The sequence below is a fragment of the Homo sapiens genome, chromosome 3, assembly GCF_000001405.40.
Source record: "Homo sapiens chromosome 3, GRCh38.p14 Primary Assembly".
Classification (NCBI taxonomy): Eukaryota; Metazoa; Chordata; class Mammalia; order Primates; family Hominidae; genus Homo; species Homo sapiens.
The window spans coordinates 99,935,414-99,950,725 of NC_000003.12; the positions used below are offsets into that span (position 1 = coordinate 99,935,414).

At 39.7% G+C, this 15,312-nt stretch overlaps 2 protein-coding genes and 1 long non-coding RNA gene across 6 annotated transcripts in view, besides 1 other annotated feature; 2 read left to right on the plus strand and 1 right to left on the minus strand.

Moving 5' to 3' along the window:
- Positions 1-15,312, plus strand: part of CMSS1 (cms1 ribosomal small subunit homolog) — a 363,871-nt gene that overhangs the window by 117,552 nt on the left and 231,007 nt on the right. The window lies entirely within an intron of this gene.
- Positions 1-15,312, plus strand: part of LOC105374010 (uncharacterized) — a 223,532-nt gene that overhangs the window by 117,552 nt on the left and 90,668 nt on the right. The gene's annotated exons all lie outside the window — the stretch shown is intronic.
- The window catches only part of FILIP1L (filamin A interacting protein 1 like), a 285,691-nt gene that overhangs the window by 106,603 nt on the left and 163,776 nt on the right, over positions 1-15,312 (minus strand). The window lies entirely within an intron of this gene.
- Positions 13,799-13,999: a silencer, noted in NCBI's record as "peak4749 fragment used in MPRA reporter construct". NCBI's record gives its function as "represses an SCP1 promoter by STARR-seq MPRAs in K562 erythroleukemia cells {active_cell/tissue: K562}" and the evidence as "EXISTENCE:reporter gene assay evidence [ECO:0000049][PMID:32103011]".

The following is a 15,312-nucleotide window of genomic DNA, read 5'->3' on the forward strand; positions in this document are numbered from 1 at the left end:
GTGACTGTCATAACCCTAGAACGATAACCTTCAGGAGTGTAGGCTGGGAATCAGGAAACCCAGCCTCTGATCCCAGCTCTGCCTTTAATTAGCCAGGGTCTGTGTTGTTGCTTATAAAATGAGAATACTGGGATAGGTTGTCCCATGAGATCACTCAGGCTGGAACAAGGACCAAGGATTGTTTCCTTTGACCTCTACCCTGTTCCTCACCCCCTGATGGATCCCGTGATAGCAGGGTTAGGACCTGAGACTGGATGATCTTTGAAGTCCCGGGATTTCCCGCTTTAGAATTCTGGGACTCTCTGTTGTCTTGTATCTATGGATACAAATACAGTGCAGTTGGCAGTGAGAAGTAGATCCTGCTTTGTTTTCCTATGTAGTTCCTTTAGTCAGTTTTACTTGGGCTTAAGTTAGTTGAAATCATGGTGTATCTTGGTAAGGATGTGTCCATGCAAGAGGACTAGAAGAGAGTTTGTAATTATTTACTTAATTTATTTGCAGGAAATGGCCAAATGTAAATAGAAGTCTATTCTACTCATTACCTTCCTCCAGCAGCCCCTCAGCCAATTACTTATTATAAAATTTAAATTTTAAAAATCATTCTTTATTAATGTTGTATATTAAAAATTACTCTACATAGTTAGGTGCTACTTAGACATACTTTTTAGTCTTCATTTTCTTACTCATTTTTGTTTTAGAATTGTGGATGTGACTAGAGGATATTTTTGCTTGTATCAAGTAAGTGAAAAGCCTCAAAAAAGAAATCATTTTTGGTCTTGGTCATTTAATATGGTATCGAGGTAGCCAAGCAAAACTACTCCAATTTAGAGAAAGAAAATAATAGTAATAATGGTAGCTAACATGTATTCATTACTTATCATATACAAGCCCATTCTAAATGCCTTCCTTTGATTAACTCATTTATTTTGCAGAGGAAGGAACTGAAGCTTGAAGCCTTTTTTTTTTTTTTTTTTTTTTTTGTGACAGCATCTCACACTGTCGCCCAGGCTAGAGTGCAGTGGCACGATCTCGGCTCACTGCAACCTCCACCTCCTGGGTTCAAGCAATTCTCCTGCCTCAGCCTCCCAAGTAGCTGGGACTACAGGCGCGCACCACCACACCCAGCTAATTTTTGTATTTTTACTAGAGGTGGAATTTCACAGTGTTGGCCAGGATGGTCTTGATCTTGACCTTGTGATCTGCCTGCCTCGGCCTCCCAAAATGCAGGGATTACAGGCATGAGCCACCTGCGCCCAGCCCGCTTGAAGCCTTTTTAAATCACTTGCCAAAGGTCACACTGCTAAAAAGTGGCAGAGTCAGAGTCAGGCCCTAATTTAGGCAGTCTGGCTCCAGAGCCTACTAAATCACTATGCTGTATCTACTTAGCTTTTATAAAAAGATATACATAGTAAAGGAAAAATCCTGGTTTAACATTAATTTATTCAACAAACATTTATGAAATGAAGCCCTACTATGTCAAGTATTGTGCTACGCAATTTTGTTTTAACTAGCTTATTTTCTTTTCTTTCTTTTCTTTTTTTGAGACGGAGTTTTGCTCTTGTTACTCAGGCTGGAGTGCAGTGGCGTGATCTCGGGTCACTGCAACCTCTGCCTCCAGAGTTCAAGCAATTTTCCTGCCTCAGCCTCCCAAGTAGCTGGGATTACAGGCGCCTGCCATCATGTGGCTAATTTTTTTGTATTTTTAGTAGAGATGGAGTTTCACCATGTTGGCCAGGCTGGTCTCGAACTCCTGACCACAGGTGATCCACCCGCCTCAGCCTCCCAAAGTGCTGGGATTACAGGTATGAGCCACCATGCCCAGCCTAGCTTATTTTCATATGTGGACCAATCTCCAATTTGTTGAATTCTGAGTATCCAAAATTATACAAAAATGTGAGTAACATAAATTCACAAACCCCTAGCCTTTGAGTCTATTCAATAAAGATGTTCTGTTTTCATATATTGTTTATGTGCAAAAACTATGTATTTTTAAATTTTCATGTGCTTTTCTCAACCACTGCTGTCATATTGAAGTGGCAGGAGACATGTCTTAATAGAAAGAGTATGAGATTGTGGAATCAAATAGAACTGGTCTTAAATCACAGCTCCAACATGTTAGCTCTGTGGCCTTGGGCGTCAGTGAGCCTTTAAATGTAAAATGGAGATAATGGTACTTGCTAATGGGTTTATTATTCATATTTGGTTAGCACAGGGCCCCTGTTGTTAATGTGTGTATCCCCATGTCCTACAGAGTTGGACCTCAGCAGGGATTTATTGAGTGATTGAATCATGCAGTCCTCAGCAGAGCTGGTTGGCTCTGAATAGGAGCTGCCTCATGGTAAAGATGATTCATTTGCAAACCACTGGCTAGAAATTAGAAAAAGGGTACTGAGAATCTACTGAAGTAGCTGTGTATAGACCTCTTACCACATGCCAGGCACTGTTTTAAGTGCTTCAGTTCATTTATCTTATTTATCTTAAAGAATTTTAGCCTGAAGTAAATGAAAAAAACAGAAAACCTGTAGGAAGGGAGTTGGTAAAGGTGAATTAAGGTGGAGACTCTCATAAGAGATAGCAAAGACAAATAAATTAATATCAATTTCAGGGCAGCACTGGTGCCTGCAAAAGGCTCAGGAAGTGTGTGTGTGTGTGTGTGTGTGTGCGCGCGCGCGCGCGCGTGCATGCACACTCGTGCTGGGTGGGGAAGAAATGTTAGATCCACGTAACTTACTGGAAATCTCCATTTAATTTCACTGAATTTTGTAAACTTTCGATCATAAATACCCTGATCTGCTATCCCTCACCCCCAGCCCTCTCACAGACACCCTCACATGCATGAAATGAACTGAGTATGCACTACACTATTTTTTAATTTGACAGCACCATTAACCATCATTAGTTCTGTTTTTAAGCATGTAACATTTTATTAAGGCAGTCATTTAAACTTAGTGTAGTGGGAAATTTTAGACATAAATTGTTTGTTTTGATGGCAAGAAGACTGCATAACACGGAGTGAGTCTGTGCTAACTGTACGACACTCATGGCCAAGGAACAAAGCTGGGAGTGATCCAAGGCTTTAAATTTGAATATATTTAACACCCCATACTTTGCTGAGTTTAGAGGGCAGACTGTCTGCTATCTTTACATTTGCACTTGCATTTCCCCCTATCTTTACACAGAACCTTTAAGCTAAGATTTAGTTCCCTGAAAGAATGGAAAGAGATGTATTAAGATTATGGGGTTCTCAGCAGAGCTGGTTGGCCCCTTTAATATTAACTGACTTATGGTAAATGTGATTCATCTATGAAAATAGTGGCTATAAATAGATGTTAATAGCGCTCAGTTGCAGAACAGCCAGGTTGTGCTCACATGGCCAGATTAGGGGAAAAAATCCTGTTGGGTATTTTATGTGGTCTTTCAAAAAAAAAAAGTTTCCTTTTATTGCCCTACTCACCCACATTTGAAGACACTAAACTCAGCCAGCTGCAGTAAAGCTATCTGATGGCTAAAAAAAGACAATTGAAAACAAGATAACCTAATTTAGTAATTGGCCTCCGTTATCTTTTTTCTCCCATTTTCAGTAAAAATCATTGAAACATTTTCTTAGTGATATTTTTCCTTGTAGGGCATAGACAAGTCTTTAGACAAGGGATTGGAAAGTGGGGATGTATGATTCAGGTTCATATTCCCAAGGATTCTAAGTCCTAAGAGAAAGTCAAAGCCACAGAGAGAAAATCAAATAAGAGCTTCAGAAGGTGGTGCAGTAGTCTCTCATCCATCACCCATAGTATCAGGCACTTAGTATTTTCCATCATCACCTGCTCACTTGTTATATGCCTGTGAGTGTCCAAAAGTGCTTCCTTGTTGTGAGCTGAAATCCAGCTCCCAGGAACTTTAGTTCGTGTATCCTGGTTCTGCCTCCAGAACTAAAGCAAGCCAAGCTACTCTTCTTGCCACAGTGTAGTCCTTTAACCGAAAGGACTCTATTCTTCTTTATTCCAAATGAAACACTCAGTTTCTTTATTCATTTCTTACACCACCTAGTTTCAGTCTCCTCCACCCACAACTCACAAACACATTTTGATTGTGCCCCTTCAGCCCAGGGTCTTTCTTAAAGATATGCATGGAATTGGGTATAATTTCCCAGATATTAAACACAACTAAAGCAGTGAATTGGTGAAGGTATATACTCAGGGAAGATCTTAGCAGCTTTTCTGATAGTGGTTCCAGTTGGAATTTTAAGTATGGATCCAAAAATTTGATAGTAGGTGTTTAATGAAAACTTCTTCCAGTTTAGCTTATCAGGTGAATGCTTGTAATGATACCTTTCACATGCATGTTTCTTGATACATCAGGAGACAGGGTATTATTTCCCCAGTTTGCAGATTCCTCGTCTGCAAGATTCAGGAATCTTCAATAATTTTAGTTTACAAACAGTGGACCACAGATAAAAAGCTAGGTATTCTGACTTTTTTTTCTCTATGCTCATGCTAAATTAATTGACATTTACTCTCTTTTTAGTTTGGAAGTGTTCTTTGGTTTCTTGTTTTCTACGTGCTGCAGTCAGAGAAGCTGCTGGGCTGTAGATACAGAATAAACAACCACTGATGAGGTCCAGTAGGGCAGACTTACATCATGGCTTTTCTTAGCTGTGTGTTGTGAAGAAAGGACAAAAAGAAATATAAAAATCTTCAAGTATAAATAGTGATTTATCCAAGTTTTCCATTACAAATCAGTGACTCTTTAAAGATTCTTTTCTCATTTAAGGTTGAAACAGGGCTGAGAATGTTTTCCAGATCTTTGTGGAATACAGCAGAAAAAGGAAATTATTTTTATGTAGTCCAAGTTAGGTTTAAATGCATTTTTAAATGCCACACTTCCAACCCTAGATCAGAGCTCTTGAAAATCATATGATTCTTTTAACAGTTTTCAAACTACATCACTTTCCATATTTCTTCCAACTTCATGCTCTGGTTTTTCTTAGAAATACAGTGATAATGAGCCAGTCACTTAACCTTTCTATTTTCTTTGAATTTTTGTCCGTTTGGACCTTGGAGCCAGTTTTGTCCAATCCCCTTACACTGTAACCAAATCCCAGCAAGGTTAACTGATGTGCCTATGGTCATGCCCTGAGCCAACACCAGAAGGCAGGTCTCTTGCCTACATCTCTGTTGTTCTTTCCATTGTATCACTTCTTGTTCATAGGCCAACCCCTGTTTCCTCCAGCTCTAGGAAGATGTGAATCCTAAAAGATAAAAATGCACCTTTCAGAGAACCCGAAATTTCCTACAAATTTTTATTTTTGTGAACCATCTTCCTCACCTTTTAGGTAACAATAGATCACCCTGAGTGCCTTTTGGCCTCCTCTTGCCTAGGCCAACCCAGCCTAATAAGGACCTTGAGGTAAACAGGTGATTCAGAGGAGGTCAAGAGTTTCCATCTTTACATTCCAACGTGAGGTCTTCCCTTTCTTTCATCTAAGGAACTGTGACTAGAATAGAGATGGGTTGTTGTAGAGAAGATGTTGCAACTCTTAAAGCGCCTTGGGCTACCCCTAACTTCTAAGCCATTTGGCTCCCCTTTCCCAGCATCTCAGGTATACTCCATTTATCTTCCTATAACTGGCAGAAAGTTTAATAACTTCTTGCCTCTGAAGCATATAAGTTTAGTCTGAAACATTTGCACTTTCTCTTTTTAGGGGAAGAGAGGGAAACTAACTTTTCTAAAGCTTCTGTTTTTGCCAAATAATACGATTCATTCTTCCTATTCCTTACGTCTTTTTTTTTTAGACACACGGAGTTGATATTATTCTCTTCAATCTACTGATGAAAAAACTGAAGTGTTATAAAGCTCACAGCTTATTATATTAATAGTAGAAATACAGGTTCACGAGTAAATACAAAATACTAGGAAATACTGTAAATAATGTTCAATGCACAAAGTGTTTTGGAAGGATTTGAGAAAGAATGACTAATTCTGCCAAAGGGCCTTAGTAAAGCCATCTCAGAGATAAGCTTTATCTTGGAGAATGAAAAAGGGTTCCCAGGCCATATGTATAGGTAGAAGGTGGATGAAAAACACAGTATGTGGGGAATATCAAATTGTGCCTATGCTGAAGCACAGGAGGTGTTCAATGGTGAAAAGTGAGGGCAGAAAGGTCAACTGTGGGTATGCATCACAGGGCTGTTTATAATAAGGGAGATGAAACAACCATGTATCCAACAAATAATAGGGAATAATTATATGGATCATAGAATATCAGTGCACATATTCTGTGGCCAGTGAAGCAGCCAGAAAAAGTCAAGTTTTCAAGGAGTATTTAATAATGTAGGAAAATATTTGTAATTTGTAATAAGTTAAAAAATTTGGAAAAAATATATTGATTTATCTATTATATTGTTTTCATATTTGTGAGGTGTTTTTCAGAAGAGAAAAGGGGATGAATGAGATAAAACCTTGAAATTGATCAACAATGCAATAGCATGTTGCCTTGATAGCAGCTGGTTTGATTATCCATGAGGTGGGAAAAGAAGACTAAGGAAATTTGAATGTGAACTATAAATTAGGTGATATTAAGAATTTACTGTTTTCAGGAGATCTAGACCATCCTGGCTAACACGGTGAAACTGTATCTCTACTAAAAATACAAAAAAATTAGTGGGGCATGGTGGTGGGCGCCTGTAGTCCTGAGGCAGGAGAATGGCGTGAACCTGGGAGGTGGAGCTTTGTAGTGAGCCGAGATCGTGCCACTGCACTCCAGCCTGGGTGAGAGACCAAGACTCCATCTCAAAAAAAAAAAAAGAAGTTACTGTTAATCTTATTAGATGTGTTAATGGCATTGTGTTTATGTGAAGAATGTGCTTTTTATTTTTCCAGATGCATAATGAGGTATTTAAATGTGAAATGACATGTTCTCCTGGGATTTACTTTTAAATACTCCAGAAAAAAATAATGGCAGGGGATAGAGGTGAAATAAATATGGCAAAATATTGAGGATCTCTGAAGATGGGTAAAGAGAACATGGGTTTTATTCTTCTTTCTACATTTTGTATATTTGGAAATGTTCATAATAAAAGATTTGAAAGAAAGCACTAGGCACATATTGGATACATAAACATTTTAAGAAGTGGTTTCCTTGCCAGTCGCCGTGGCTCACGCCTGTAATCCCAGCCCTTTGGGAGACCGAGGCGGGCGGATCACCTGAGGTCAGGAGTTCAAGACCAGCCTGGCCAACATGGTGAAACCCCGTCTCTACTAAAAATATAACTAGCCGGGCATGGTGGTGGATGCCTGTAATCCCAGCTACTCTGGAGGCTGAGGCAGGAGAATTGCTTGGACCCAGGAGACAGAGGTTGCAGTGAGCCGACACAGTGCCACTGCACTCTAGCCTCGGCGACAGAGTGTGACTCTGTCTCAAAAAAAAAAACTGAAAAACAAGAGGTGATTTTCTTAAAAGAAAAAAAGAGAGTGCCATGGGGGAAAGGGGAGAAAAGAAGAAGGAAGGCACCAAGCTTGGGTATCAGGCATAGACAGAGAAACAGGAGAGTAAACTATGTCCCAGGAGCCAAGAGAGAATTATTTCAAGGGGCAAAGAGCTGCTGTGACCTCATTTTAACAACATTACCACTGCTTAGAACAACTTTGGACCTCCACTTTTGGAGTCATCTGCTTTGAAATATCCCTCAGCTGGGGCAAAGCCTGTTTCTTTAAAGGCGAACTTAATTTCTGATAACAAGAACAGGTTCCTTAAAAACAAATCTAGTGAATCTAGTGGTCAGCTCATGCCTATTTTGGTCAAAAGAACCAATTATGACATTAAAATAATGGGACTGGCTTTTGTGTGTGGCCTTCAAAGGAGGTTTGAAGACATTTCCAAAATGTGTCAGCCCTGACACTTTTTCAGAATAAGCTTCATAAGATAAAACCTTCAATAACATTACACATTTGGATTAATAACTCCGGGCTTTTATTTTTCATATTCCATCTACTTTGGTTAAATGTTAAATCTTGCCGGGTATGGTGGCTCATGACTGTAATCCCAAAACTTTGAGAGGCCAAGGCAGGTGGATCATCTGAGGTCAGGAGTTTGAGACCAGCCTGACCAATATGGTGAAACCCCATCTCTACTAAAATTACAAAAATTAGCCGGGCGTGGTGGCATGCGCCTGTAGTCCCAGCTACTCGGGAGGCTGAGGCAGGAGAATCGCTTGAACCCGGGAGGTGGAGGTTGCAGTGATCCGAGATCACGCCACTGCACTCCAGCCTGGGCAACAGAATGAGACTCCGTCTCAAAAAAAAAAAAATTACATCTTTGGTGTCTTGGAGCTTCAGTCTATTTTCTATAATCCAAATATAAGCAAAGCAGTAATAAACAGCATGGTAGACAGCAGGGGAAAGAGCATAGGCTCTGGAGTCGGCCTGGCCGAGTTATAATCTTACTTCCCTCGCAACTTCTGCTGTCCAAATTGGGTCAAACTACTTCATTTCTTCAGGGCTCAGTGTTTTATAGGGTTATTGGGAGGATTAGAGATGACACATACAAGATGCTGTGCCTGGTACCTAGAACATGATAGGAACTCATAGCTTATCCTAATGGAGATGTCATAATGATACAACTTTATCTCTTGGTTCAGCAGACATGCCTTCCCTCTTAGAACATCAAATGAGATAAGAAAATAACTAGTGGATTTTTAGCATCATGAGGAGAGTACATTACTCAGGCCCTACCTCACCAAAGGGAGGGAGTTCTTCTAGTCAGTGCTAAACAAGTATTTTAAGAGTGTGTGTTATTTTGTGCCTAACTGAGATGGAGATTGGCAAGCTGAAGAAATTGGGATTTGGCCAAGAACCAGTGCTTGTTGTTTAGTAGAGAGGTGATAGGGAACTATGATCCTGCCAGTTTGGAGGGACGTAACATGAAATGACTTCTTGGTCCAAGCTGGCTACAGCTGTTCCAAAAAAGATGACAAAGGCTGCTGATTCAGAGGGGGATACTCACCCAGGCTGTCACGTCTGTCTCTCCACCAAGCAAGACTTTTTTAATCCTCTAACACAACAGCAACACAAAATTTACTGTCTGCAGGCACAATGCTAAGGCACTTTGTGCACACTAAATCGTTAGGCACTGAAAACAACCCTGTAAGGTAGTACTCTGATTCATCTGCACTTTATGGGTTAAAGTAACCGAAACCTAAAGAGGTTAAGTTAATCTGCCCCAAGCCACAGAACTGGCAAGTGGCAGAACAGGAATTCAAACTGGCTTCAGAGCCCACCCAGTCTTTGCAAGCCTACTTTCTAATGCCTGAATTCCTTCTCTTTAGGAAGAATTATCTGTGTAAAGTTGGGAGAGACATCTCAGCAATTATGGTGCAGCACTGACTATATCAATAAAATTAAAGTAGCCAGTATCTTTCACCAAAGACCTGCATCACAAAGTGGTGAGAAGAGAAAAAAACATAGATCACCAGGGAGAAAGGGAAAAAGCCTAGGTTTGGTCAAATCTGCGATGAAGGCACAGAGTGAATTAAATTCAAGCTTCTTCACTACTGTTCATTATTCGGCTCATTCTAGGCAGTAGGGAGGGAGTTGTTATAAAGCAGGAGCTTATAACAGCTTTTAGACTCTGCTTAAGTCAAAAATCATCAAGAATCATCAAAAAGCATCAAGGAAAATACACAGAACAAGCAGTCACCCTGCTGTGCTCTCCCTGATGCTTTTTGGTGGTCATGTGGCTGTGACTAGACCCTATGAGTTCGGGTTAAGTCCTGGGTTCTTCAGACTGATAAAAGGTTTCTTCTCATGTCTTCCTCTAAGAAGGGCCATCTCCACCCTTTCCAAAGTCCCACTCATCGCTACGAAGGAGTGCTTTCCCCATACTCCCTCATGAGGTGAGGTTGGCTTACCCAGACTGCTTCCCAGCCTTGTTGCGTAGATCTGGACCTCAGACTCTCTGAGGTCTGTGGTAATGGGGATAGATTGAGCTTGGGGGTTCCACCCACTGTGTGTGGTTCCATATAGCCCTTTGTTAGAAAGCACCCAGGGCAGCCAAGAGTGCGTGTTGACTAAGGAGGGTGGCTGCTGCTAGGAACTGTAAGTAAATAAATGGATGTCAGAAGCTTACAATTAAGGAGGGAAACAAAGAATCATTACTCTCCCTTAAGCATGTTGCTTTGGATGTTTTAGCAATGATTATGAAGCATTTACACACAGACTAAACTAAGCTCTTTGTGTTCCTTGCAAGGTAGAGAGCCTGCCAAGTCAATTTCAGCATGCAAAACCCAGACAATTATTTTGGCATTTAGGAGCAGCCACTGTTTTTGCTAGGGGTTGGGGGCTGGCAGCCTGTTGACACAGGAAGCCTTCATAAGGAAAGAGAAGTCAACTTTAACCCCAATTTTTTTAAAAAGAGAAACCCTGTCAGGGCTCTCACGTTCCCACCTCTTATGCGAAACCTCTTGTCACAGAGCCAGTGGGAGAAGCCCTTGGGCTTAGAAGTGCCACACATGCTTTTGTGTCCACAGCGTGCAACTCATTCATAGCTGTTTTCATATCCTCTGCCTAGCAGCTCTTTTGTGAGTGTGTGCATACAGACAGTTGGTAGATGTATTTCTAGTAATAACCAATAAAAAGATAAAGTTCTTGAAATTATGGTCTTGGTTCATCAGATAATATATGCTTTATGATAGTCATTCTCAACCTGTAAGCCCAGAACTCCTGGGAGCTTTCAGAGTTGACAAAAGGGGCCCTGCAATCCATATAGCAAAAGCATTTTAAAAAATTGGGTATGTCTATTACATCTTCAGAATAGCCCTGGATACTATTGTGATTGATAGCTTATAAGCTGCTTTAAAGTTTTCTGAATTTGTTATAGGCTTTTATAACTATGTCTTCACTCAGTCAATGAATAGAAAAAGCTACAACTATCAATGGAGAATTTGGAAATTTTTTGTTACGGAAAAGGAGTTTTCATCCTAGAAAGGGTGTGTAAGCAGTATCCAAAGGTCTTTTCTGTGTGGCTGCTAAACAAAAGACTGCTTTCTTATTATTGAACCTTTTGGTAGTGTTTTCTGACACAAATGATTTCATGTCTGTATCAGAACTGCCCTGTTGATGTAGCTGCAGCTAAAGAATGGGCTGAAGGCATTTGGTCTTACAGACTGTTAATCTGAAAAAAGCAAATGATGCCATTTTTTTTAGTGTTAAGACTTTATGCATCTAACCCACTCTCTTCAGTACAAGTTACCATGCACATCATAATTACTTGAAGGTATTTGAGGGATGATTGTAGTTTAACGTGGTGGTGGCTACATCTGGAGGCCTGAATCCACAGTATTCTTATTTTTAGCCTTTAGTAGGGACTGCTTCTTCCAGTATGTTGGCTGCAGTATTTAAAGTAGTGATTTGCTGGCTCTATACTACAAAGTACCAAATTGCCAATAGGCACTGTCTCCATCAAGGATACAGTCATTTGTTGCACAGGTGCTAACAGAGGTGGGCGGATCTCCTGAGGTCTGGAGTTCAAGACCAGCCTGGCCAACATGGCAAAACCCCGCCTCTACTAAAAAAATACAAAAATTAGCGGGGCGTGGTGGCAGGCACCTGTAATCCCAGATACTCGGGAGGCTGAGGCAGGGAGAATCACTTGCAGCTGGGAGGTAGAGGTTGCAATGAGCTGAGATTGTGCCACTGCACTCCAGCCTGGGCGACAGAGCAAGACTCTGTCTCAAAAAAAAAAAAAAAAAAAAGTAATAATATATTCAGCACTGAAAAATGGGGAAGCAGGCACAAAGAATTTTTAAAATTTACCTTTAATTCAACCACGCAGAGATTTATACCCTTGACCTTTTGTATAGTTTCCCATAGACTTTCTTATCTTTGTATCTGTTATACTATACATATTGTTTAGGGAACATTAGCTATTGTCATAAATCTTCCATACCATGATATTTGATAGCTACATAGTATTTCATTGTATGGAGGTGCCATTATTTATGTAACCATTCTCCTATTATTGGATATTTAGTTAACCACTCTCCAGTCCTTCCTGCCCCACCCCCTTCACCTTAGTGGCCTTTTCCCTATGGATCCAGAAGGGACCCAGAGCTAAAAAGGAACCTTGACTTTGTCTGGACTTCACAAAACTGGCAGGAGTCCATGAGAACTGTCCTCGGCTGAGAAAAATATCTGTTCGTTGTTTTAAAGTCATGATGACAGTGGCTGCAGGATTTAATCGCAACTCATAATCATTATTCTACCTCCCCTCTAAATTCTTTTTCCCTTACCAAATAAAAATATAAAATTGTTTTGAATACTTTTAATAAGGTAAAAAGAAAAATAGAAGGCATGTATACTGCTGGGGTAGACCACTATACTACCTTTCTAGGCCCTGAAAGTTGAGAATTTGAAAATGAAATAAGAATTTAGAATATTTGTCCAAATAATTCATCTTTAACAATAGGACATTTATTTGCACATTTTTTCCTTTCATGGAGGAAGCTGTTATTATATTTACAGATTACCTCATCATATAGACTTGAATAAAAAATATGAGAATCAGACCTGTAGAGCATATTTCAAACAAAATTAAAAGCAGAGCTGTGTAGACAATGGTGGTGGTAAGATAATAAGTATTTTTTATTCTAAAGCTATAACATTCTGTTTCTGATTTATAGAGTATGTCATCATTTTAATGCTGTCTTATGTCCAAAAAATAAGTAGTTAACAGTAGTGCATTAGAAACATGGTTACCAAACAGTATACCAAAAACTAAAACATTGCATGGTATAGGACATGGAGAGAAGAACCAAAGTTTGTTTAGAAAAGAGAGTCTCAGGCCAGGCATGGTGTCTCACACCCGATCACTTGAGCCCCGGAGTTTGAGATCAGCCTTAGCAACATAGTGAGACTGTCTCTCCAAAAAAATAAAAAAATTAAAAAATTTTTTAAAAATTAAGTAAAAATAAGAAAGAAAAAAAATTAGCTCGGTAGGGTGATGCACACCTGTAGTCCCATCTACTCGTGAGGCTGAGGCAGAAGGATCAGGATCACCTAAGTCCAAGAATTGGAGGTTACAGTGAGCCATGATTATATCATCACTGCACTTCAGCCTGAGAAGGGGGAGGGGAAGGGAGGGGGAGGGGGAGAAGAAGGAGAAGGCGAAGGAGAAGAAAGGAGGGAGAGAGAAAGAGAGGGGAGGGGAAGGGAGAGAGAGAGGAAGGAGGAGGAGGAGGGAGAAAGAAAGAGGGGAAGGGAAGGGAAAGAGGAAGAAGAAGAGGAGAAAGGAGAGAGAAAGGGAGAGGAAGGGAAAGGGAAGTGGAAGGGAAGGAAAGGAAAAAAGAGGAAAAGGAAGGAAGGAAAGAAAAAGAGAAAGGAAAGAAAAAGAGAAGAAAGAAGAGAGCCTCAGAATCATAAGACATCATCAGGGTTGGAAGGATCTGGAGATTGATTTGCCCCACTCCCTCTCAGCAGGACTTAGAGACTGGACACCCTCATTGTAAACTGCACACTGTAACCAGCACACATCCATACTATGAGGGGTCTTTTTGCATAACTGTGTGGTCTTAAAAATGTGGCCAATTCTTTCAAGATATATCCAGAATCCTTTAGCCATTTTATTTCCTAGCATACAGCTGTTAGTTGAATGCCACCTGACATAAATTTTGGTGAGTAAATTCCAAAAAAAATTGGGAGGAATATTTCATAAATGTGAAAGCAGGATAAAGTTCCCAAAAATCTGTGAGCAAGTAGCCAGAGTGATTTATTGTTAAGATTATAACTAAAGAAAAACTTGCCTTGTAACCTCCTGGTTCTAAAAATGCTGAGGCTAGGCCTACAAAAAAACTTTAGGCTGGTTTCCTCAATTTTTATTTTGACATATTTGTATGATTCAGTTTGTTTGTTTTTAATAAGCTAAATTTAAATAAAACCCTCCATAGTTGGCAACTGGCTTCTTGGTTAAATATTTAAATATACTTAGGATTTTTGTTCTTCAGCTCTGTCTAAAAAGTCAGTTGTATAGTAGTTCTTTACTTGAGGAAGTCAGGAATGCATAACTGTCTGTGCTTCCACGTATAGTCCCACCTTTCAACAGGCAATTTTACTCGCAGTACGTTTTATCAGTTGAAAGAAGGAAAAACAAACAATTCTATAGCAACCTTGGAATCTTTCTCAGGGCACTAACATGGCTGTATTTCAAAGTACTTAATATTTTCCTAAGAAAGACAAAGAAGTGCATGGTGCTTATGTTATAATTTCCTAATCAGAAAGGTACAACAACACTTAAAAGGTGATTAGAGTTGCACAATGAAATATTTGTAGTGGTTCTTTTAGCCATTATGTATCTAAAGTAGAATTTTTACTTTTTGGTCTTCTAAGTTCTGAGAATCAGAATGAGACTTACATGTAGAAATAATTCTTTGATTTGTTCATATTTTCCTTAAAATCCATCACAATTATTACCAAGGACATTCTTAATCAGCTGTGTGTGTGTTAGGGAGGTATCAGGCTGAGTTGTTCTGTTGCTGCTTTATACATATTCTTGGATATCATTAATTATTTCCCAGAATAACCTTTACTTTCATAATCAAAGGTATGCTTCTACCTTCGACTTTATATGTATTTTTGGCTACCTGCTAAGGAGGATTGGGGACAAGGTCATTTTAAGGTGTCACTTAGTCACTTGGAACCATTAGGTTAGAGAACAAAAGTAGGTAAAGTTTATAAAGCACAAGGAGCCACCTACTGTAACTGTAGATAGGACTTTTTTCTTATTTACTTCCTTATCTATATTTTCTCTTGCCACTTGCCCTGGTTTCTCTGTGTCCATGCTATGTATCGGAAATAGACTATATTACTGGAAAAGGATGATAGTTATACCAGAGCTCTTACTAAATGTTAGAAATTTTTACAGCATCTCATTTAATCCTAACAATTCTGTGATGGATGCCTGATTATTCTTATTTCTATGGGTAGGGAAATCAGAACTTAGAAAAGTTAAGTAAGTTGCCCAAAGCCACAAAGTTAATAAGTGGCAGGGCCATGATGCACATGTCCTATTCCTGAGATTTTTTCACTTCTTTATATTATCTTCCGTTTTCACTAGTCTCCCCTGGTGACTTTCCTTCCTTTTCAGCTACAAAATTTCATTCATCGGATAGTATACTTGAAGTTTTAAAATGTGCTGTTCCCAGCAGGAAGTGGCCCATGGCTGTATGACTATCCCCACTCACCATTTCCAATATTCGCCTCCCCAGACAGAAAGAGGAATGGAGGCAGCCCACGATTCTCTTTACACGTTTCATATATTCAGAAAAA